General features: G+C 35.1%; 2 long non-coding RNA genes across 7 annotated transcripts in view; one reads left to right on the top strand and one right to left on the bottom strand.

Annotated features, from left to right (window-relative positions):
- The window catches only part of LOC105379364 (uncharacterized), a 535,736-nt gene that overhangs the window by 9,047 nt on the left and 500,653 nt on the right, over positions 1–26,036 (bottom strand). For 2 of the 5 annotated variants that reach the window (NR_189606.1, NR_189607.1), the window contains one exon: positions 22,033–22,624. This is a non-coding gene — a long non-coding RNA (uncharacterized LOC105379364). Of the gene's footprint in view, positions 1–16,747; positions 17,978–19,522; positions 19,651–19,852; positions 22,625–25,052; positions 25,126–26,036 lie in introns of those variants that run through there. The other 3 variants (NR_189608.1, NR_189605.1, NR_189609.1) reach the window with 3 other exon arrangements.
- On the top strand, positions 6,314–20,076 carry LOC101929881 (uncharacterized). 2 transcript variants are annotated; one of them, NR_189604.1, is made up of 3 exons: positions 6,314–7,583; positions 10,309–10,442; positions 19,571–20,076. It is a non-coding gene; the product is annotated as an uncharacterized LOC101929881 (long non-coding RNA). The 2 variants fall into 2 exon arrangements; NR_189603.1 differs by lacking the exon at positions 10,309–10,442.

The raw sequence follows: 26,036 nt of genomic DNA, 5'->3' as shown, positions 1-26,036 counted from the left end.
CTCAGAATCAGTAGGGCAACTCATAAACATCAAATGAATAAAAGTTTTTGGAGATAGAAGGAATTCATGAAAAAGGCCTTTTGGAGGGAACTGTCCTGAGATTAGTGTCTTCTCTATACAACAGGGAAGCATGAGAAGGATACAGTACGTTTCCTCTGAAGTCGAAAGAGAAGAACATCAACAGGATTACTCACAGAAGTTGCTCTGCAACCTCTAAGTTTGGGAACCTGATAAATATAAAGTGATTGTAGCTATTTTTCTGAGGAATGATACTGTGTCCAGAATTTATTCCTTCCGGTGGGTTCTTGGTCTCACTGACTTCAAGAATGAAGCCGCGGACCTTCACGGTGAGTGTTACAGCTCTTAAAGATGGTGTGTCCAGACTTTGTTCCTTCCAGTGGGTTTGTGGTCTTACCGACTCCAGGAATGAAGCCGCAGACCCTCGCAGTGAGTGTTACAGCTCTTAAGGGTGGCATGTCTGGAGGTGTTTGTTTCTCCTGGTGGGTTTGTGGTCTCACTGACTTCAGGAATGAAGCTACAGAGTCTTGTGGTGAGCGTTACAGCTCATAGAGCTAGTGTGGACCCAAAGAGTGAGCAGCAGCAAGATTTATTATGAAGAGCCAAAGAACAAAGCTTCCACAGCATGGAAGGAGACCCAAGCGGTTGCCACTGCTGGCTGGGGTGGCCAGCTTTTATTCCGTTATTTGTTCCCACCCACGTCCTGCTGATTGGTCCATTTTACAGAGTGCTGATTGGTCCATTTTACAGAGTGCTAATTGGTACGTTTACAATCCTTTAGCTAGACACAGAGCACTGATTGGTGCATTTTTACAGAGTGCTGGTTGGTGAGTTTACAATCCTCTAGCTAGACAGAAAAGTTCTCCAAGTCCCCACTGGACCCAGGAAGTCCAGCTGGATTCACCTCACAATACTTTATGATCGTCTTTGTGAAATCACTTAGACAAAAAAGAAAAAGAAACAGGCTAAGGCAGTAGCATCCACCTGGAAGAAAATGCACTGCCGTGTCTAAGGAGTCAAAGCAAGTTTAATTTTTCTAGTAGGATTCTCTGAAAAATCTATGAAAGCACCCACAGGAAAGTAAACTCTAAATACCAGAGAGACCCAAAGAGCCAAAGGCCCCCAAACATCACACAAGCCAAGGGAAACAAATTCCTATCCCACTGACCTCTCTTCCTTTCCCTGACTCTGATGCTGGTAGGCTCTGCATAGTAAGAAGGGGGAAGAGGAGGCCTTCCCCGGCACAGTGGCTCATGCCTGTAATCCTAGCACTTTGGGAGCCCTAGGCAGGCGGATCACGAGGTCAGGAGATCGAGAACATCCTGGCTAAGATGGCGAAACCTCGTCTCTACTAAAAATACAAAAAATTAGCCCGGCATGGTGGCACACGCCTATAGTCCCAGCTACTCAGGAGGCTGAGGCAGGAGAATCGCTTGAGCCCGGGAGGCGGAGGTTGCAGTGAGCAGAGTTCTCACCACTGCACTCCAGCCTGGGTGACAAAGCGAGACTCCATCTCAAAAAAAAAAAAAAATGTGGAGGAGGGAAGAGGGGGACACATTGTGTGAAGAGAGAGAAGAGAAAAACTCCTAGAAACACACAAGTTAATGGAAATACCTGCAACAGGACCCAAATTAAGAAGGACAAAGATAGAATGTAAGGTCAGGGCCAGAGTCTGAGTTTTCTTTGGGACTGCAAAAATGTCTGTATAAATTAAAGCTGTTTTTGAATTTGTGACCATAAGATTTTAGCCAGGAGTGACCAGAGGAGTCCTGGGGACCTGATGCATATGCATTCAGAGACCAAGGTAGGGATGGAACAGTCCTATTTAGCAGGTTTAAACATACACTGGGGAACACATAAGTTTGCCTTCATGCGTAGACCTGTGTCAGGCTCATTCAACATTTATTATCAAATAATACAAACACGCAAGCAGAACATCTACTTCAGTACAAGATTGTCCTTGAAAACAGCAATGTTCATCCTCTAACCTTGACCTTCTGACAGTCCTGTACTCTCATATCTCATTATCACCATGGAAATAAGCAGAATTCATCAAGAATACCAGTTTAGCTTCCAGGTTACGGAAATATCACAGTCCTTTATTTTTGTCTCCTTTGTTATAATTTATACTATAATTTATATTTTAGGACATGAGAATAGAAAATTAACTGCATATAGTCATTTTTGTAAAATAAATTTTAAGTAATTGACTGATGGGATAGTAAACAAACAGTATGATGGTGTACTCAAGCTCAAATATGTCATAATAAAATAAGTAGAACTGAAATACATATTTAAATTAAAAGATAATACTTGTGAGACTGAGATAAAAAAAAACAACTGAAGGCAACTTACAAGAGACACACCCTAAATATAAGAATATGAAATGGTTGCAAATTAAAGGATGGAAAGATTTATATTATGAAAACACTAACCAAAAGAAAGTTGGTGAACCTCAAAGTGATTTTTTAGGTCAAGAAATTTCCTAGAGTGAAAGAGGGGTAATCCATAATGATAAAAGGAAAATATAATCATTTAAAATTTATATACCCGTAAATGTATAGCCTGAAAATACAAAAAGGAAAAATTGGCAGAAATCAAAATAGAAATAGGCAGATACACGATAACAGTGGGAGATTTTAATATCTGCTTAGTAATTCATAGATCAAGCAGACAGCCAATCAGTAAAAATACAAAAATATTTGAACAATATGACTAACAAACACTTTTTTATAAAAACAGACAAACATTTAGGAAAATTGACAAAAATAAATGTAAAATTCATATGAGTATGCATGGGACAAAGAATAGCAAGGATGACTTTAAAGAAGAACAAATTTGGGATACCTACAAATTTTGCATCAAAAATATTATAAAATATAATATATAAGACAGTGTTACATTAATGCACAGAGAACAATGAGAGCATTGAAAAACAATCAAGAATCCAGAAAAAAAAATAGCACATAGCTAGTCATCTGACTTATGATAAAAATGGCATTATGTGGAAGTGAGGAAAAGATAGTATTTTTAGTAAATTATACTGGGTCAATTTATTATCCACGTGGAAAAATATGTCTTAATTTCTGTCTCACTCCATATACAAAATCAATTCCAAGTGCATTGTAAATCTAACTGTAAAAAGTAAACCAATACATGTACTAGAATGTAACAAAGAAGGATATCTTAATGCCTTTCACCTAGGCAAACATTGGGCTACATTAAAGAAATTCTGTTTTACCACTGCATGTTCTCACTCATAAGTAGGAGTTCAACAAGAAAACACATGGACGCAGGGAGGGGAACATTACACACCTGGACTTGTCGGTTTGGGGTATGGGGGGCAAGGACAGGGAGAGCATTAGTACAAATACCTAATGCATGGGGGGTTTAAAACCTAGATGATGGTTTGATAGGTGCAGCAAACCACCATGGCATGTGTATACCTATGTAACAAACCTGCATGTTCTGCACATGTATCCCAAAACTTAAAGTAAAACTAAAAAAAAAAAAAAAAAAAAAAGAATTAAAAAAAAGAAATTGTGTTTTACAAAAGGCATTACTAAGAGTAAAATGGCAAGTCATATAGTGGTAGAAGACACTTGTAATATCTACCTGATAAGTGATTCACCAAATATATAAAGATCCACTATAAACCAATGAGAGGAAGATATAAAACAAAATTGAAAACAAAATGGCAAAGGACTTGATCAATTTCTTCAAAAAGAAGACATCAAAATGGTGAATAATTGTGTAAAAAGCTAGTAATAATGAAGATAAAATAAATGTAACTTAAAACCAAATGAGATTTCACAACGTAATCAATAGAAATGCTTAAAAACAAACAAATTCCTTGTAGAAAGTGCTAAGAGGACAGGAAGCCCCTGGAAGGTACTGGTGTGAGAGTAAGTTGACAAATCACTTTAGAAATTGTTTTAAAGTATCCACTGAAGTACAACTTATGCATACTCTCATTTTCCTAGGTATATACTTAACAGATACACATATGAGTCCCAAAAGACAAGATCAAGAGTGACCACAGAATCATAATTTGCAAGTACCCAAAAACTGAAACAACACAAATTGTCCATTGACTGTAGTGGTGTAGATAAATAGTCATTTGGCATAAGTGAACCTTCCAAACCCAATACTGAGAAAAAGAAATCAGGCACAGAATAATGCATTTAGTATGAATGTGTTCATATACATTTCAAATGGATTGCATTGGAAATTAGGACAGTGTTTTTCAATAGGGTGTGGCCAGTAGGGTGCATGAAGGTGTTTCGTGTGTGCTGGTGGTATTCAGTCTCTCCTGACTGTAAGTTACAGGATATGTGCATTATGTGAAACCGCATCAAGTTATTCGGTTGGTGCAACAGTAATTGAGGTTTTGCCTTTTTTAAAAATATATATCTACAATTTGTGAGATTTTTGTTCATATTTGAATAACATTATTTGTTTTAGAATATTTGTATTACAACAAAACAGAAACCTAAATAGTAAAAGTAATAAATAGACAAAAGAGGAAAGAGTATATAACAACTTTTGTCATACAATTTGACTGGCTTACTTTTATTAGCATTATTATTTTAATCAGAAGGAAAATCCATTGAGCTGTTCTCCTATATTTAATGATCCATCAACTTATTGTCCTACAGAGATTTTCATAAAAATCCTATTGATATAAATATTAATATATGATATATAATATTTCATAATATATTATATATATCTGGTATATAATAAATCATATATATTATATTATATATTATTATATCAATAATTATATGATATATTATTACATATATATCATATGTAATATATGATATATGATAAATGATATTAATATAAATATTATCTATGACTTTCTGGAACATATTTTTTTCCACTATTTGAACTTAAGCTTACTATAGATATGAGACATAATCTCAGATTACACAATTTCTAACTGATATCTAGTTAGTAAAAGAAAAATGTCTATATCTGGAATAATGTTTATCTGAACTTAAATCATGTCAAATTTCTTAGGATCCAATTAAAGTAAAAGTACTCTTAGTAACGTAATTGTTTAAAAGTACTTATGCCTATAAATATTCTTTTATTTAAAAAATTATTTTAATTATAAATTTTCTATTCAAAAGAATTTCAAACACTTCACAAGTTTATAATGTAAAATATATTTTAAAAATATAACTATATAAAAACTTATTTCTATTTTTAACTTTATTTTTACTTTTGCATTTATTCTTTTTTTTATAATGAGATTCTCCTGGAGTAAAGGCACTGTTTCATAACTTGGCTTTTGTCACTTAACAATATGGCTTAGACAGTCACAGAAGAACAAATACTACATGATACTACTTAAATGAGGTGTCTAAAATTGTCAAACTCATAGAAGCAGAAAATAGAATGGTGGTTGCCATTGGCAGGGGCAGTCATTCTTCAATAGGTATAAAGTTTCTATTATACAAGATAAATAAGTTCTAGAGATTTGCTGTTCAACATAGTACAATACAGTATCGTGCACTTTAAATCTGAGAAGGTAAGATCTCATGTTAAGTGTTCTTACCAAAATACATACACATGCACACACACACACGCATAAAAGAACACATTGAATTTGTTGAAGTGATGGACATGTTTAGTACCTTGGCTGTGGTGATAGTACCATGGTGTATGCCTATATCCAAACTGATCAAGATGTATACATTAATTGTGTGCAATTTTGTGTACATCAATTATTCCTTAATAAGCTAAAACATATTTAATTTTAAAAAACGAACACAGCTAATGTACTTTCCTTCTCAGTACATAATTCTACCTCTTTCTCTCCAACAATTGCACCAAATTCCTAGATACATTGAACTGTATTTGTTTAATGGTAAATTAGAATTGAGGGAGCTTTCAATATTCACTAATACAGTTCTTCAGGGAACATTCTTATGTATGAATTTTTAAACACTTGTGCAAATATGTCTATGGAACAGATTTATAAAGAAAACTTTCAGGAATTTTTGTTCAGGGTTTGTGCCCTTTAAGCTTTGGTGGGTAATACCAAACTGCTCTCTGGCTTAATTCCAATAGCCTATTTACCAGTGAAGATTATGAAGCTTCTAAAATGGGTCTCGATGATCCCTGCATCCCAATATTCATATACTGCGTAATCCCCTTTCCGTGAGTGTGGACTAGATTTACGGACTGGCTTTTAACAAATAGAATATCTCAGTGATGGGATGCTATAAATAGACTGTGGCTTCCAAATTTCTTTCTTCCTCCCTCTCTCTCTCTTTCCCCCATCCTTTTTCTCTCTCACATACACATATAGGCATGCATACAGACATTCTCATTCTCTTTCTCTCTCTCCCCCCACCCCTCCCTTTTCTCACACAGACACATTCTCTTTGTCTCTCACCCTTGCCCCCTCCTCTGTGTCTCTCACACACATTCTCTCTCCCTCCTTCCCTCTCTCTCACACACAGATGCATACATACACACGTTTTCATTCTCTTTCCCTTTCTCTCTCTCCCCTCCTCATCTCTCTTCCTCTCTCTCTCTCACACACTTTCTCTCTCCCTCCTTCTCTCACACACACATTCTCTCTCTCCCCCTTTTTCTCACTCATCTCTCTCTCCTCTGTCATCTCTCCCCCCAACACACACGCATTTTCTCTCTCTTTCCTTGGCTTCCTCTCTCTTTCACACACACACATATACACACACACGTGCATAATCTCATTCTCATTCTCTCTCTCCTCCTCTCCTTCTTGCTCACACACACACATACACACACTTACACACTCTTTCATTCTCTCTCTCCCTCTACCCTTCCCATCTCTCCTTCTCTCTTTCTTCCTCACACATTCTCTCTCGCCCCTCCTCTTTCACACTCACATTCTCTCTCTCACTTTCTCTCCCTCCCTCTTTCCTCACTCCCTCTTTCACACACACACATAATCTCACTCTCATTCTTTCTCCCCCTCCTTCTCAGTCACACACATGCACACAGATACATACACACATTCTCACTCTCTCTCTCTCCGCCTTCCCCAACTTTCTTCCTCTCTCTCTCACAAACACACATCTCCTTTCCGTCTCCCTCCTTCTCTTCCCGTCTCTCTCTGCCTCTCTGTCACACACACATACACACTTTCTCATTATTTCTCTCTCTCACACACACAGATACATACATTCTCATTCTCTTTCTCTCACACACACACATTCTCTTTCACACACAAACACACACACACATTCTCTTTCTCCCTCTCCTTCTCTCTTCCTTCCTCTCATGCTGGGGGAATCAAGATGGCTATATTGTGAGCTGCCCTATAGAGAGGCCCATGTGGCATGGCACACCCAAGGAACTGAGACACTCAGTCCAGCCTTTCACAAGAAGCTGCAGCCTCACCAACACCAGGTGAGTGAGCTTAGAAATGGGTCATCCAGATCCAGGCGAGTCCTGATGACTGCAGCCCCAGCCAACAGCTTGACTATAATCTGATGAGAGGCCTTGAGTGAGGAACACCCAGCCAAACACCTCTCAGACTCCTGATCCACAGAAACAATGAGGTAATAAACATTCGTTGCTTAAAGCTGTTAATTTAGGGGTAATTTGTCACATAGTAAATTATAACCAGAACACCTTGCCAGCCCTTAATTATTTATCATTTATTTATATTTTTGCTAATCTAATGTGAGTACTACCAATGTTGACATCTGTATTTGTGTCAGTATGTGTGTGTAAATTGCTTCAAATCCTTTGCTTATTTTTCTATTAACCTGTCTATCCTTTCTTGTTGTTTTGTAGGATTCTAATGTATTTAAGATTAATGCTTTATTTTTCATACATGGTGCAAATATTTTTTTCCATCTGTTTAACCAAACATAATTTATAATTCATGTGCAGTTGAGTTTGCTGATTATGTCTCTTGTCATGTTTAGATTTGTATTATTATTAGAAAAGCATTACAGTTCCAAGATACGTAATATTTTCATGTATTTTCTTCCAAAATTTCAGAGACTTGTTCAGTATTTAGCTTCTTAACCTGCCCATAGTACATTATTTCTAGTGAGGTTATACAGAGAGCTAAATAAAACTTTCCAGATTGATAATCAGTTGTCAAAATATCAATGTGATATAGTCCATCCATTTTTATAAGTTGAATCATTATAAAAACATGAATATTTCTGAACTCTATATTATGTACCATCAATTTTCTTACTGTTTCCTGCAATAACCACACTGTTTAAATTGCTATAATTCTGTAATATGTTTTGATAATTGGTGGGATTAGTTTCTCACTGGTCTTCCTTTCAAATGTTGTCTTAGTGTTTTGCGAATATTTTTTCCATAATGAATTTAAAGTAATCCTATACATTCCTTAGAAATTATATTTAGAGTTTAATTTTCAGATAAATTTTAACATATAGAATAATTTTGGGGAGAGTTTACCTCTTTCAAATACTGAATACTTCTTAACCAAGAACATAGTATAACTTTTTCTTTTTTTCAGGGCCTGTGTTATGACCTTCAATAGACTTCTATATTCTAAATAGGTTTTACAAGTTTTCTTGTCAGGCCTAACCATAAGTATTTAATGAGTTTTGTGGCTGTTCTAAATGGACTCATTTTTCTATTACATTTTAAATTCATCATTGCTGGTGTATAAGAAAGCTATTAATTTTTTAATATTGATTTATTTTAATCTGGCTACTTTCCTGGACTCTTACTAGTTCTTACAGTTTTTTATTGATTCTTGCTGATTTTTTTCTTTTGGTGGACAATAACTTTATCTTTGTCATGTGTGTATATATATGTGCTTGTATATGTGTCTATATATATATGTGTGTATGTGTATATACACACACATACACACATTTTGCTTTTATTTTATTGCATGGAATAGCATCTTCAGCAAACATCAATATTGACGTGGTAGCTGGGAACCTTTTCTTATTTCTGATTTACTGCAGATTATCTTCGTATTAGCTTTCCTGCTACCACTATAACATATTACCACAAACTTTGTAACTTAACCCACCACAACTGTATTTCCTTACAGTTCTGGAGGTCTGAATTCAGAATGTGATGTACAGGGCTATAATCAAAGTGTCTGCAGGGCTGGTTCCTTCTGAGGGGAACATGCTCTCCCTTCTGCAAGGGAGGATCTGTTCCTTGTCTCTATCAGCTGCTATAAGCCACCTGCATTCCTTGGGTCAACGCTTCTTCTTCATAACGCTCCAACCTCTTGCTTGCTTCCATCATCACATTGCCTTCACCTCTGTCTAAATTCCTATCACCCAGATAATTCAGAATAATCTCTCAGTCTCAAGGTTCTTAACTTAATCACATCTGCAAACCCTCTTTTAACACGTAAAGTAACACATTCACAAGTTCCGGGAATTAAGACATTTTTGCGGGGAGGGGACATTGTTAAACCTACCACGCTTAAAATATTTCACTATTATTTATGAAGTTTTCTTAAGGCTTCTGGTAGATTTTTTTAAGTCACTTTCAAGAGTATATTTCTATAACTCGCTTACTAAGAGCTTCTTTCTTCTGAGTCAGTAACAAATATTGTAATGAATCAAATCATTTATTCATCCATATTGAGATGTTTATTCACTGTTCTCTTTTGTTAATGTACTAATTAAATTAATGCACATGTTTCATAATTTGAAATACTTTTGCACTCCCAGTATACACCTTTTGGGCATAATGTATTAATATTAGTCTGCTAACACATTCCTGAAATTAATTTGTGAATAGTTCATTTATAATTTTCATATCTGTATTCACAAGTTTTCTTTTCTGTGCTTTTTTTGTTAAATCTTGATATCAGTGTTATATTACTCCCATAAAATTATTTTAAAAAAATTCTATTTCTTTATGTCAGTCGAAAAACATTACATAACAAAGAAGTTATCTCTATAAAGGTACAGTTAGCCTCACCCATAAAACATCCTGCACCTGATTTCCCTTTATCGTGGGCAATAAGCTCTCAATATTTCCCCTGACATTATCAATATTTCTGCTATTCCTTAGGTGAACTTTTGTCATTTGTGTCACTAGCAAATAATTCTTACTAAGATGCTTAATTTATAACATAAACCGTACTTATGTTTGATATGGTTTGGCTCTGTGTCATCACCCAAATCTCATGTTGAATTTAATTCCCAGTGTTGGGGGAAGGACCTGGTGGGAGGTGGTGGTTACATCACGGGAGCAGATTTCCCCCTTGCTGTTCTCGTGATAGTGGGTTCTCATGAGATCTGATTGTTTAGAAGTGTGTAGCTCTTTCCCCTTTGCTCTCTCTCTCCTGTTTCAGCATGGTAAGATGTGCCTGTGTCTCCTTTGCCGTCCACCATGATTGTAACTTTCCTGAGGCCTCCCCAGCCATGCTTCCTGTACAGCCTGCAGAACTATGAGTCAATTAGACCTCTGTTCTCCATAAATTACCCAGTTTCAGGTAGTTCTTTATAGCAGTGTGAGAATGGACTAATACAAGGTTGCCTCTATATCTAAAATGGTATTTATTTTCTCATTCCTGGCATTATTTGTTTGTATTTTTAACTGGTGAAAGTATCTAAGTTTGGCCATCTTATTGATAATTTTAAAGTTTGTTTTTAATTTTCTTGATCATCTTTACTTTTTATTTCTGTTTGCAATTTAGTTTCTATGTTTATCTCTAGTAATTCCTTTTATTTTTCTTACTCTTACTTTTTTTCTCTTCTAGGTTTTTACTTCACATGCATAATTTATTAGCTTTATTTTTTAAAGTATATGCATTTTTATGCTATAACTTTTTAGCTCAGTACCACTTTTGCAAGATAATATAACTCTTGACAGATGCTGCCTTTAATGTCTTTTAGCATCAAGATAGTTGTTAATTTTAGTTTAGACTTTGTCTTTATACCACAATTTATTTAGAGGATCATTTCTGAAGTTCTACCTGCAGAGCTGTTTTAAACTTCTAATTTTATTACACTATATTCAGGGAATATGGACTATATTAATTTTGTTTTAGGAATTATTGGAATTTTTTTGCAGACATAATTCTTGATCTATTTTTATATGTTCTGTTTGTTCTTGAAAAGCTGTGTGTTCTCTATCTCTGCAGTGCCAAGTTCCTTTCTTTCTTTCATTGTACCTATTACACCACACATATTAATTATGTTCATAAATTTTGACATTAAACCTAAAGCATATATTTAAAAAAGTCTCAGATTAAATAAAAAGACATACTGTCTACAAGAAATGTTGAATTAAAAAGAAGTTGGAAAGAGATGCCAGAGAGAGACAAAAAGAGACAGAAATATATAATATTAATACCATACTTATTAGAAGTATTAAAAATTATTTAAAAATAATATTCAAAAAGAAATAGCATTTTATTGAGAAATAATATATTCTACAATAAAGACATAAATTTTAGAAATATTTGTGCATTATGAATATTTGTGCATATATATATGCTGAACATAATGCACAAATATATATAAAATATATATATGTATATATAAATGTTGACAGTGTAAGGGAAGGTTAATGGAATTAGGAGACCTTAACATATTTTCCTTAATTCTCAAAAAAACAAGATTAATAAATCATAAAAGATTTATCTGGAAAACTTTAACACTTCTTCAAGACACACAAACAAACCGATTAGAAAGGGAAAGAAATTTCCTCAACACGATAAACAGCGTGTACAAAAAATCTACAGTTAACACAATATTTAATGTTGAAAACAAACGCATCCCTAAGATTGATAATAAGGTAAGGATATTTACTCTCACTACTTTTATTTAGTATTGTATTAAAGGACCTGTGAAAATTTTTGGCAAGGTTATCAAGTTCATTCAATGGGGAAATAATAGCACATTCAAAAGATGGTGCTGGGTCAATTGAATTTCCACATGCAAAAGAATGAAGTGGGATCCCTAACTCCCACTGCATATGCAAAAGGTAACTCAAAATGGATCAATGACCTAAATATATGAGTTAAAACCATAAATCTCATGGAAGAAAACATAATAACGTAAATTTTTTTTTTTTTTTGAGACAGAGTCTCGCTCTGTCGCCCAGGCTGGAGTGCAGTGGTGCGATCTCAGCTCACTGCAAGCTCCACCTTCCCAGGTTCACGCCATTCTCCTGCCTCAGCCTCCCAAGTAGCTGGGACTACAGGCGCCCGCCACCACACCCGGCTAATTTTTTGTATTTTTTTTTTTTAAGTAGAGACGGGGTTTCACCATGTTAGCCAGGATGGTCTCGACCTCCTGACCTTGTGATCCGCCCGCCTTGGCCTCCCAAAGTGCTGGGATTACAGGTGTGAGCCACCGCACCCAGCCATAACATAAATATTTATAACAATGGATTTCCTATGAATTTTTAGCTTTGACAACGAAGGTTTAGGTAACAAAGGAAAAATAGATAATTTGGACATAATCACAATTAAAACTTTTGTGCATCAAAAGACATTATAAAGAAAGTGAAAATGTCCTATGGAATGGGAGAAATATTTGCAAATTATATATCTGATGAGAGTTTAATATTCAAAATATATAAGGAACTACTATAATGCAACAACAAAAAGACAAGCTATCCAATTTAAAAATGGGTAAAGGACTTCAGTAGACATTTCTTCCATAAAGATATACTAATGGCCAAGAATCATATGAAGAGATGCTCAACACATCACTAGTCTTTGAAAAATGCAAATCAAAATCACAATGAGTACCACTTCACACTCATTAGATGGCTATTATCTAAAAGCAAAGTAAAGTAATGAGTGTTGGTGAAGATGTAAAGAAATTAGAACCCTCATACATTACAGATGGGGATGTAACGTGGTACAGCTACTAGGGAAAACAGTTTGGTGATTCCTCAAAAAGCTAAACATAGAATTACATATGAGTTAGAAATTCCACTCTTAGGTATGTACCCAAAAGAATTAAAAACAAGGACTCAAACAGGTATAGTACTTGAATGCCAGTGTTCCTTGCAGCATTAATTACAGTAGCCAAAAGACAGAAACAACCCAAATGTTGAATGGATAAGCAAAATGTGCTATTTATAACCATGTTATGTGATACATATATATCACATAATATGCATATAATTTAGCCATTGAAAGGAAATAAGCCAGGCGCAGTGGCTCACGCCTGTAATCCCAGCACTTTGGGAGGCCGAGGCGGGCAGATCACAAGGTCAGGAGATCGAGACCATCCTGGCTACCATGGTGAAACCCCGTCTCTACTAAAAACACAAAACATTAGCCGGGCTCGTTGGCGGGCGCCTGTAGTCCCAGCTACTCAGGAGGCTGAGGCAGGAGAATGGCGTGAACCTGGGAGGCGGAGCCTGCAGTGAGCCGAGACAGCGCCACTGCACTCCATCGTGGGCGACAGAGCAAGACTCCATCTCAAAATAAATAAATAAATAAATAAACAAACAAACAAACAAATAAATCTCTCAAAGATGCTACAACATGAATAAACTTTAAAAACATTATGCTAAGCAAAAGAAACCAGACATCAAAGCACAAATATTGTATCATTGCACTGACGTGAAATATCTAGAATAGACAATCCATTGGGACAGAAAATAGATTAAAGGGTGCCAGGTGCTGGGAGGCAGGAAGAATGTAGAGTTATTGCTTAAAGTTTATAGAGTTTCTGTTTGGAGTGATAAAAATGTTTTGGGAATACATAGTTCTGATGGTTGCTCAACACTGTGAATGTAATTAATGTCTCTGAATTGTACACTTAAAAATGATTACACTTTAAATTATAAATTTTAATTTAAATTATGATTTAAAGGGCAAATTTTAAATTATATATTAAAAAGTAAAATACGTGGTTAAAAATATAATGATAAGCTACAAACTGGGAGAAAATATTTGTGCTATCCGACAAAATACTAAAATCTAGAATATATGGTAGATTCTTACATCTCAATAATAATAAAAATAATAAATAAATAAGTAAATAGACAAAGAATTGAGCAGACAGTTCATCAAAGATGATGTACAAATTGCCAATTAGCACGTAAAAAGCTGCTCAATTCTATTAATCTTCAAGGAAGTGCAAATTGAAATCATTTCACACCTATTAGAATGACAAAAAAAAAAGGTGATACCAAGTGAGGACAAGAATTTGAAGCAACTGGAACCCATTTATTTCTGATTGTAGTGTAAAATAGTACAACCACTTTGAGAAACTTTGTCAATTTCTTATAAAACTGAACATCTACTTACCATATATCTCAGTAATCTCTCTCCTGGGTCTTTTCCCAAGAGAAATAAAGACACATTTCACAGAAACATTTATATATAAATGTTCACAGCAGCTTTACTCATGATAGTAAACACTGAAAACAATTCAAATGTCCACTAACGGGTGAATGTATTACTAAACTGCTACATTCATGATATGGAACAATACTCAGAAATAAAAAGAAATGAGCTACTGATAAATGCAGTAGCATGGATGGATAAATCTGAAAATCTCTATGCTGAGGGAAAAAATTAGACATAAAATAGTACATACTGCATGATTTCATTTACATAAAATCCTAGAATAGGTGAAATTAATCTATTCTTATAGAATCTATTCAGTGGTTGACTGGAGCAGGGAATAGCAAGGGTTGACTTGCTATCCGATGCCAAGGGCTTCCGTGATTATGGAAATAGTCTCTACCTTGATTAGGAATTTGGTTAAATAGGCATATATCTGTGTCAGAACTCATTGAACTATATATTTAAAATGTGCATTTTATTGTATGTAAATTATTAGTTGATTAAAAATACATATCACTCAAATTCGTGAATTAAAGAAGAGTTATCTATAATTATGGTACTAAGCATCACAATAATCATAAAGGAAAAGATTAATATACTTGAGACATTTGAGCACAGAAATCTTTTAAATCACTGCAAAGCAAACTGAAACAGGAAAAGGAAAATGTGGCAAGATATTTGTTTTATTTACATATATAAATGACTATATATATATGACCATATATATATGACCATATATATGAGCATATTTTATATACATCCACATCTATTATAGTTCTAATAAGTTACTAAAAAGTTAAAACCTCAAAATCCAAAAGGCAAATTGTAATAAACAGGCAATTTCGAGAACAAGAGAAAAAAACATGATAAAAATGTGAAAAGCTATTCAACTTCACTGATAATAAGGGTAATGCAAACTAAAACCTCAATGATAATAATTTTGGTTTTTATAAATTTGGCAAACATTGGGAAATTTGGTTAAGTTAGTGTTAGCAGTATATAGAAAATAAAGTACTTTTATTCTCTTTCTTTTAAATATAAATTGATAATTTTAAAGGCTATTTGATGGAACAATGAAAATTTAAATTCTGTGAACCATTTTACCAGTATTTCCCTTCTAGCTATGAAGTTTAAGGAGATGTGTGCATGTATGTTTGTGTATTGAGTACTGCCTATAAAAGAATAAAAATAATATTTAATATTAGTCAAGACGAACGTTGTCAATTGAAAAAAAATCCAAGAAAAAATGGCAAGCTACGTATATCACATACGTCAATATATTCATACGAAAATGAATAGAAACATAAACAGTTAACAGCAACAACAGTGCTCTCTTAAATAGAAATAAAGATGAGCCCTTTTTATCTCATTGCATTTTTTTCTTTTTTTTGTTTGTTTGTTTGTTTTTGAGACAGAGTCTCGCTCTGTTGCCCAGGCTGGAATGCAGTGGCACCATCTCAGCTCACTGCAACCTCCGTCTCCTGGGTTCAAGCGATTCTCCTGCCTCAGTCTCCCGAGTAGCTGGGACTACAGGCATGTGCCACCACACCCGGCTTTTTGTATTTTTAGTAGAGACAGGGTTTCACCATATTGGCCAGGCTGGTCTCAAATTCCTGACCTCAGGTTATCCACCCAACTCAGCCTCCCAAAGTGCTGGGATTACAGGCAGGAGCCACCATGCCCAGCCTCTCATTGCATTTTTATACTGAAAAATATTAGAGTGATATTTGATACTAAAATATTGATTCAAATCAGTGCTTGCTGCTGTAAATCCAAGTTTATTGTCCTCCTTTTAAAGATGAATAATATTCCTTCTAATACTTAATGTATTCTATTATAATGATACATCAGCATTTCAGATAAGATTATCAAAACTAATGAAAATAAATTTCAAAAAAGTGTCAACTATGAATTTGCACCATTTTCATTTTTCTAGATTTGATTAAATTATGATTGTCATTAAATTTGTAGATTCTCTTAATCTCTTCTGAGAGGTACATATAAAAAATCCATGAAAATATATACATTTCTAAATATTCTCCATGATGGTATATATATTTATTTTTTGAAATATGTGTTCTTGATTTCTGATACAATACAGAGTTCTTTTATGAAATATCATTGATATTTTCTTCATTGCTAATTCTTTATGCATAAAATTGGCCATCTTTTATCATTTGATTTTCTAATTTATTTATTCCATAATACAGCCCAATTTCAGGATTTGAGAGATGATATTGCTTCCTTTGTTGTACATACCAGATATAGTCCATTGGCAAATAGCCACCTTCCCCACCCTCTTCTCTGCCTCTTCTTGAACTGCAGAGAAAAGTATATTTCAAAGATTTGCCTCACCTTTAGCTAGGATTTTGCATGTGTATAGATTTTAGCCAGTGTGCTGATGCAGATACTGTACAGGCTAATTAAAGCAAGGACAACTTCTTGTTATTTTATTTATTTATTTATTTTGTTTGTTTTTTGAGCAACCAAGGTCAACATGATGTTTGTCTTTACTTGTGGCATACTCAGCATTTGCCTCTGGTCACCAGCTTTTCCTGTATTAACAGGCAGTGCTATGGCAACAGCTACAGTCTCCTGATTTCTGGATTGTAGCTGTAACAGTTGTCCTTAAATTCTTTAAAGCAGTGGTAGCCCAGACTCCTATTCTTCTATGTCTTATGGAAGTATTGAGTTCCCTGTATTAAATTCTTTTATTTTAAATTCTCACAATACCTGGAATGATTTTTCCTTCACCAAACATTAACATCTAGAGTATTTGGTATCCAAGGTAGTGGAGCATAGGCTGGGGTCAAAATAATACATACAATATGTGATATTGGCTAAGAAAGTGATTGGAATATTTGTGTGTGTTACCTTCTCCTTGATACTTTTAAGAAAGTAGGTAAGAGAAAGTCAGGAAAGTGTACCTCTACAAGCAGTAATGGAGGAAATACAGCTACTCAAAGGAGACTTTTCTTTCACTTAACTTGACTGACAGGCTAGAAATTTCAGGGCTTAGAAGTTTGGAACAGTTAAACAACAAGAATAAGAGAAGCTCCCATTGAATGTCCTCTGTCAGAGACAAAATGGTGTTGTTCCTTGTGGTAGATGTATCTATTTCCCTGTGTCCTTTGTCATATGATTTGATATCCGTCATGCTAAAGGTGGGCATGTTCTCCCATTTCCCCTTGGGCTTGGCAATGTGACCAGCTTTAGCCAATGAAATGTGGACAAAAGTGATAGTGGCCAAATTCGCAATTGCAAAAATATGGAACAAGCCCAAATGCCCATTAATCAATGAGCAGATAAAGAATCTGTGTTTATATAAATGATGGAATACTACTTAGCCATAAAAAAGAATGAAGTAATGGCATTCGCAGCAACCTGGATGGGATCAAAGACTATTATTCTAAGTGAAGTAACTCAGGAATGGAAAAATCAAATATCATATGTTTGCATTCATAAGTAGGAGATAAGCTATGAAGATGTGAAGGCATAAAAATGATACTATGGACTTTGGGGACTTGGAGGGAAAGGGTAGGACAGGGGTGAAGGACAAAAGACTACAAACTGGGTTCAGTGTACACTGCTTGGGTGATGGGTACACCAAAATCTTACAAATCACCACTGAAGAACTTGTGTAACCAAATACCACCTGTTTCCGAAAACCTATGGAAATTAAAAAAAAATAAAAATTAAAAAATAAAGGCTGTGGTAGGGCCTGTAGGTGAAATGAAGATAAATAAGATCTGTGCTATGAATCAAGCTGTGACTACAAATTCCTGTAACTAGAAGACACAAAGGAATATATACATATATATATATGTGTGTGTCTGTATATATATATATTCCGCCAAAAAAAAAGTGGTAGTGGCTAGATCTAAGCATAAGCTTTGAGAAGCATAGCAAATATTTGAGGCTGTCTTCTGCAAGTCCCATTAGGGGAACCTCTGCTAACATGCTACCCAAAGAGGATGAAATAAACATGGCCTCAACCCCATAGCTTAGATTTAAGTCATCCAGCTGAACACAGCCTAGATCAGCTAAAGCTCAGCCAGTAGTAGACACATGAGTGAATGAATGCTTCCTGTTGTATGCCACTGAGATTTTGTGATTGCTGGCAACTAGAGACTGATTAACCTCCATGCCTAAGCCTACTGCTTCACATTGCTTCACAATAGCCACCATTCAACGGAGAAAGACAGAAGTGAGTTAAGCAGAGAGAACAGTTAGTAAATATGCTCAGAATCATGACCAGACAAGATAATGGCTATTTTAACTTTCACATAAAAGTGTCTGGAGGTAAACAGACCAGAACTCTGGTAAGTTTTGAGGAAATTACTTTACCAATGCAACTACAACCCTGGCCTTCAAAGCCATATAATTGTTACATGAATAAAGCAACCTGCTTATCTCCCAAAGGCGTGTGCAGAAAGTAGGCTGGGAATGCTGGGCAGAACCCAGGAAGGGCATTTTCTCCAACACCGATTTCAGACATAGCCACAGATAATAATAGACAAGAATCCCCAAGAGGGCAAAGCTGGGAGCAATGAGGATTTTTGTACAAAGAAATTCCTCCCAGACAACACAACCAGCATTCAATCAAGGAATTTAGACCAAGGCAGAGGTTTTTCACCCTTCCTTGCCAGTAGAGTTTTTTCATTGCTATAAACTATGACTACTGGCTGGGCACCACATCTCACACCTGTAATCCCAGCACTTTGGGAGGCCAAGGCAGGAGGATTGCTTGACCCCAGAAGTTCAAGATGAGCCTAGGCAACATAGCAAGACCCCATATCTACAAAAAAAAAAAAAAATAACAAAGTTTGCCAATCATAGTGGCATGCACTGTAGTCCTAGCTACTCAAGAGGCTGAGGCAAGAGGATTTCTTGAAAACCTGTGACTACTCTGTGGTGTGCCTCTAATTCTTCCTTTTATTTATGGGGAGAGTTTAAAGCAACTATCTGTTGCATACTGGGTATGTGTGAGGAGTGGGAACAGATATTAGTTTATATCCCCTTAGTTAACCAGGAGCCAATTCTGGAGCATATAGAAAGGATTGCACATCACTCACAGATCCTAAATTTCTAGTTGCATACTGTAGCTGAATGGAATTTGGGGTAGTATCCTTAGGGAAATGGTCAGTGAGGGAAAGAAGTTATCATCAAACGAAATGTGTGTAGAAACGATGTATACAAATCCATGTGACTTACTTGGAAACATATGCTTGACATCCATTTTCTCTTTCCCCCTTTCTATAGGATGGAACACCAGGCTATAGTTTCAGGAAGCCAGACTTGACCCAGACTTGACCTTGCAAAAAATAGCAACCCCTTCAGAACTGGTAAAGCAATGAGAAAGAATTGCTCAGAACTTCATGGAGCTGAGCCATTCACCCATCCTGGAACATCCACCTTCCTCTGGAATTATTTTTTTAATGTTTTCTTCCTTCTTGTTTAATCCACTAATTCTCTCTCTTTTCCTCTGTTTCTCTCTCTCTCATCTCTGTTCCTTTCCATAGCAACATAGACTATATATGAGTAAATATTTGAATATATTTAATAATAAAAGTACATACACAAATATTTACAGAACTGCTCAATCAGAAAAAATACACTTAATAAATAATTGTTCACCAATGGCCTTGATGTGCTGTAATTTGTATTTCCACCAAATGAGTCCCAGTTACCTTTTATGTGTATTTTCCATGCTTGTTCACCTATTTGACTTTATACTAAAATTATATTAAATTTCTCTCTAATGTTTTGATTTTCTAATAAAATGTTGGTCATGTTTAGATGTTATCAAAATCAATAATTTTTTCTTTTCTTATCATAAGTCAGAGCAATCTTAATCTTATGTTAGAATAATGGAACTCTTATTCCTAACACACAGTTATGGCCTTTCTTCAGATTATTTTTGAAGCAGAACTTACAGACTAGTGTTTCTGATAATGCTAGAAATTTGGAAAAGTGAGTCTTAGATAAATATATAATAATCTTAGTTTTAAATGTGAAGGGTCAGTATTTCAGGCAGTAATGGAACTTTGTTTTTTGTATTAGTCTCTTCCTCCTTAGTTCTTTTATAATTGTTTCTAGCTCAAGAAATCCTAAGTTACTTGCAGTTTCAGAACAAAATAGAGTAGAAGTAAATTTCCCTACTCCTCCTTCTAAGTACAACTAAAAATCCAGGACACTAGGTATAAAACAATCATAAAAGGACTCCCAAAGTTGGAGGAAAAAAACATACCATTTGAGACCCTTAACTCAAGGAATTACATGAGTTTCTTGATTTTGCTTTTTGCTTCATGTATCTCAGACTGTGTGATGGCAAGCTAGCAATTTGGAAACAGCAACAATAGCACACAAAAATCACCCCATGGAAAGCCAGCTCTCTCAAGCCAAAATACACAAAAGGCAAAGGCTAGCAAAACAAACTTTAAGGTAATAGGTACCCTACTGCAGACCAATACCACAAAAAAATAACAGCCCTGTACCCATGCCCATCAGCAAAGGCCAAGAAGATAGCCTGGACTCCCATGACTAATCCCCTTTTACCCAGTACCTCTCTCGCAGTAAATGGAACCACCAATAACCCACTTGCTCTAAAAACAACATCCGGTATTTCAACAACCAAGTTCTGTCAGCTCTACTTCTCATATATCCTTCAACATGTCTCCTCTCCCAATATTGTTGCCACCACCAATACTCTCTTCCTTTAAAAACAGAAAAAGCCTCATTGTTCTCTCTGCACTCTCCATTTACAGTCTTACCCCAATCTAGTCTCCACTGCAGCCAGAGTAATCCTTCTAATACCTGTGTGTTATCTCTCCACTAAAAATCCTCCAATGGCTTCCCTGTGCCCAGAATACAAGGGTCACACTTCTGTGTATTCCCTTTGCTATTTATTTTTCTAAAGATAGAATGAAATTAAACTTCTCTCTGAAATTTTGCATAAGCAAAAAAAATAACAACTCTAATTTCTTATGTTTTAACCTCCATTAAAGCCATCAATATCATGAGGTGCTGTATTCACACTTAGAGAGGCATACTTCAGGAACTATAGAAACAGAGGAACAAGTCATACTGTCTGATGTAATTTGAATATGAAATCTACACACTTACCTTCTCTCCAAAGAGCAACAAATTGAACCAAATTACTTTCCAAACATGGGGATCCAATCCCCCACAGTCCACATATACATTTATTTAATCTGATGACTACATTTGCCAGACCTCGGATATAGTAACATCCCTAAATTGTATGCTTACAGAAACCGTTTTCACCAGATGAGAAGAAATTGCACAGCATTCTAAAGCTTCATCCAGTGTTAACTTTTCACAAACTATATGTTTATTAACTCAGAAATTGTACATGTGAAGTTATGCAATTGTTAACAAGTTTATACTCTACTCTCTCTAAGCTTCCTTGTTACTCTTTAAGCAATTGCAATTCGACAAGAGGAATATTTATTTCTATCCATGCAATCACCAAAAGTGAAAAATAAAAACTATTTCTCTATTTCTACAACATAGAATTATTGCCATTACGTGCAACTCTAAACATGCTCTCAGGTCTTAAATTAAAAGAACACATCTGTCTTAGCATCTATACAGGTAAAATAATTTGTTCAGGCTACTTGTTACTAATCTCTAGGTGGAAACTTCTCACCTAATAATTTAATTTTTCCTGTTCAATGACAACAGTGTTCACCAACACGTACCTTACTTCCAAAGCTCACGGTATCCCATTTTCAAGGACTGAAATGAGTAGTCTTTCAAATATTTGATGAGCAGACAGAAGGAAACCCCCTTTTTTTTTCTCTTGGTCAGTAAACAAACCCAGAGAGAATAGCTTTCCAGAATGCTGAAGATGCTCTGGCAGATCATTAATCCCAGAAAAATCTCTCTAAACTTACTGATGCGTGGATTCCATTTTCAAATTTCTCATTAGTTCCTCTTTATGGATTAAATGCTGATGTTCACAAGTGAATGCACACAGCTTCAGCTGATGGATGTAATTGGGTTGTAATGGATTTTAGCTGCTGTTCCTTCTGATCTAGCCAATTTGAAATGCAGTGTCAATGTATTCTCCCCATCTCTCGGTAGGGAATGAGAAATTGAAACCTACAAGATGAAATTTATCAACTTTCATAAAGTCAGCTTCAACCATCATAAAACTGTTAAACTTCTCATTATCATTCCACCGCAGTTATTTCTTGAACTCTGGTTTGGCAGTGAAAGTATTAAAGTATATTTCGAAGAAGTAGAGTTGATCCTTCAATATTCTGTGTGTCTTCAGCATTGATTTAGGTGCTGTAAATATTACCAAGTGAAGATGACATTAACACAGCAAAATTTAACACCAGAAACATAAAATGACAAGAAAAGATTTAAAAGTTGCAAAACCTTCTGCAATTTTATATTTAAAGCATGATTTGCAGCTATACTAGGTTCAATAACAAAGATAACATGTTTCAACATCTCAAAAATTGCTACTAAGCTGCTCTTTTGGTGTATTTTGGTGTCTCTTGGTACTGAAACATCTAGTGATGAATGGAAGACATGGTTTGGGGAGAGCCCCAAAAAGTTGTAAGCTGTCATAGTCACCCTTCATTTTCTACACTGTCATATGCATGTGTGTTTTTTAAGTCACAAGTATTTTTCTTTGGTTCTATATTCATGAGCACTGTCACAGCAAGGTCCAGAATTTAACTGACTCCAAATAGACTGAACTTTCCTTTTATTACTAACAGCATTAAGTGGAATATACGGGAAAATATCTACTCTATTTAAAATTTTCAGTGAAAGGTACCAAGGAAAAACAATTCTCCATTCATACCAGCCTTTTAGATTAGTGCATCCTTTTAGATTAGTGCATAAATTCAAGGTTCTCATACAATTCTCAAGTTTACTTAATGCCAAGAACACTGTAAAACACCGCTAGACACGTACACACCCCTTATATTTTATTCTATGTAGACAACTTATCACTGATAAAATTAGAGAACATAGGCTAGCTAAAATGATAGAGCAACATATATCATCTAGTTCTTAGAAACTGTGCTCGAATTTACACATTTTCTTTGTATTACGCATTTTACAAATCTATAAGAGGGCAACTGTACTTAGGGCTCATAAAAGTTAGCCAGCTTAGGTAACATACTTAGGAGGAAATGAAAAGGATTAATGTCTTATTTGCTTTTCATGAATAATACTAAGCAGCACATACATTTCATTTAGCATCTTCAAATCACTTGACAAACATTAAGTAATTAATTAATTAAACAGAAAACCACGATGAGCTTAATTAGAACCCATACCCCCTCCCCAAGGACACACAATGCTTCTTGGTTCAAGCAGGTTTTGAAATAACAAGAATAACCTTTCTTGTGATATTTGACTGCCAGTTTGAGCCCAGAAAGTACCTGCGTGCATATTAGATGTTTTTAAAAATGTCAATTGGATTTTGTATAACCTCCAAAATGAGAGGTTAATTTTTTGTATCTCCTCCCACCCCCTGGAATTGCTTTTCATGCTCACACACACACCAATAAACAACTGGCTTCAGGTGCCAAACAAAAATTCTCCCTCCTACTTGAAAGACTATGCCCAGAACCAAATTTATGGCAAATGATATTGCATCAACATTCAACAAAACCTGCAAAGGAAGATACCATTTCAAAGAAAAAATGACTTTATTTACTTCTGTAAATTAATATTAAAATCAGCACTTATTATCTATAATCTCTTTCTGACCCATGGGAGAAAAACTGACTCAGAGCAGTAACCAATTTTGTTTGTCTGCAAAGGCCTACCCATTGACACAAAGTAAAATTTAAGTTATTTACCACTCATTGTTTTTATTTGCACCGGACCTGAAGATTTTAAATAGAATAATTTTTCTTAATGGGATGACTGTCATTTCAAACATAACAAAGCTCAGAGGGGAAAAAATGATATATGAATTTTCATGGCCATCATATAAACCTTATATTGCGGACTTATATTGCAGACTGCCCTAATGTCATGTAAACTCCTCAAGGTGACTCACTGAAGAAATATAACAAGAAAGGTGTCCCCACTAACACTGTCTTCTTTTTGCTTTGAAACTTTCCCTCTTAGCAACAAAAGACTTTCCACTAAAAAGGGCACAGTGGGTCTATGATGCAAGAAACAAATACTCCTCATTTCAATCATAATTCAAAGAAATGTTTGAAATTGTCTTTGTGAACAGTATTTGTACTACTAAAAAAATCTTAAATTCAATACTAAATATTCACCAACTATTTTTCATTAAAAATAATATTAGGGATAACTGATGCCATTATTTATATGTGGTAAAAATTTTGGCTATTTCTGAAAATCAACTCCCTTGCTCAAAAGGTGAAGATTTGCTATCATTAGGCTGAAATAATTTTTTAAAGTGTGCTTATTGCTCTGAGAACAATTTCAAAAGAGAGATTTCAAAAACAAAATATTGTGAATTTAGATAGGCTTACATTTTGGTAATTTGATTAAAAAGGAATCTAAATCATTTTTGAGAGATTTCATATACACTTACTCTAATGTTGTCTTTCCTTAAGAAAAAAGTAATACAATTTTATCTCTCCAGCAGATTATCTACATTTTGAAAATTGTTTCCACCATACATAATTCCCTTTTTTATCTCTGAGATATTAAGATTTGTTTCACACAACCGGCTCCACATACAATGCTGCAGGTGAAGTAAAGGATCACTTACCTCAAATCTCATCTTAGTGATACCTGCATCATTCGGAGGAGATGAGGACAGACCTATTACTTTCCATCTTGAGCTTGAAACACAAAGCTAGTTTATTACATTCATTAGGTGGACAATACAAGTCAGTTGTCTGATTTTTATACATTTACAAAATAGATCTGGGATGGTTTGTTTTGGATTCCAAGATGCTTTCTGCACATTTAAAAGTAACTATGCAAAAAATAAGGTCTTCTCTATCGTAGAAAGTCTGGATGAAGCTGGAAGTCATTATCAGCAAACTAATGCAGGAACACGAAACCAATGCAGGAACACCACATGTTCTCTCTTGTAAGTGGGAGCCAAATGATGAGAACCCATGGACATGTGGGGTGAGGGGTACAACACACACTAGGGGCAGGGAGAGCAACAGGAAGATGAGCTAACGGATGCTGGCCTTAATACCTGAGTGATGGGTTGATCTGTGCAGCAAAGCATCATGGCACTTTACCTATGTAACAAGCCTACACAACCTACACATGTACCTCGGAACTTAAAATAAAAGTTGATTTAAAAAAAGAAAGTCTACATCTACAATGATATTTAAGAGAAATTCTAAAGCTGAGGTAAATAAAGAGAGACAGAAAGGTGATGGAGAGGCAGCAGGGATTAGGGGGTTAAGCGATCACATAAAGATGTTATAGTTTTTTCAACAATGATATAAACTTGAAGTTACCGCTATTATTATGGTAAGTTATTAGGAAAATTGTATAGTAGCACCAAAAGCAAAGGCAAATAACAGGAAAACTTTTCTGGGTATAGTTTATTTGCTGTCATTTTGTCTTTAATTTATCAGATCTCCTTTACATATAGACATGAGATTATTGAAGGAACAAAACAAAAGGAAAAGATAGATGAACACATTCAAAAAGCTAGCAATATCAAATCAGCATAATAAAGTGTATGCTTTTTTGTGACTTTTTATTGTTCTCCTGTCTTCTAAAGGGA

Source organism: Homo sapiens, chromosome 8 (assembly GCF_000001405.40).
Source record: "Homo sapiens chromosome 8, GRCh38.p14 Primary Assembly".
Taxonomy (NCBI): domain Eukaryota; kingdom Metazoa; phylum Chordata; class Mammalia; order Primates; family Hominidae; genus Homo; species Homo sapiens.
This window is presented reverse-complemented; position numbering and strand designations above follow the sequence as displayed.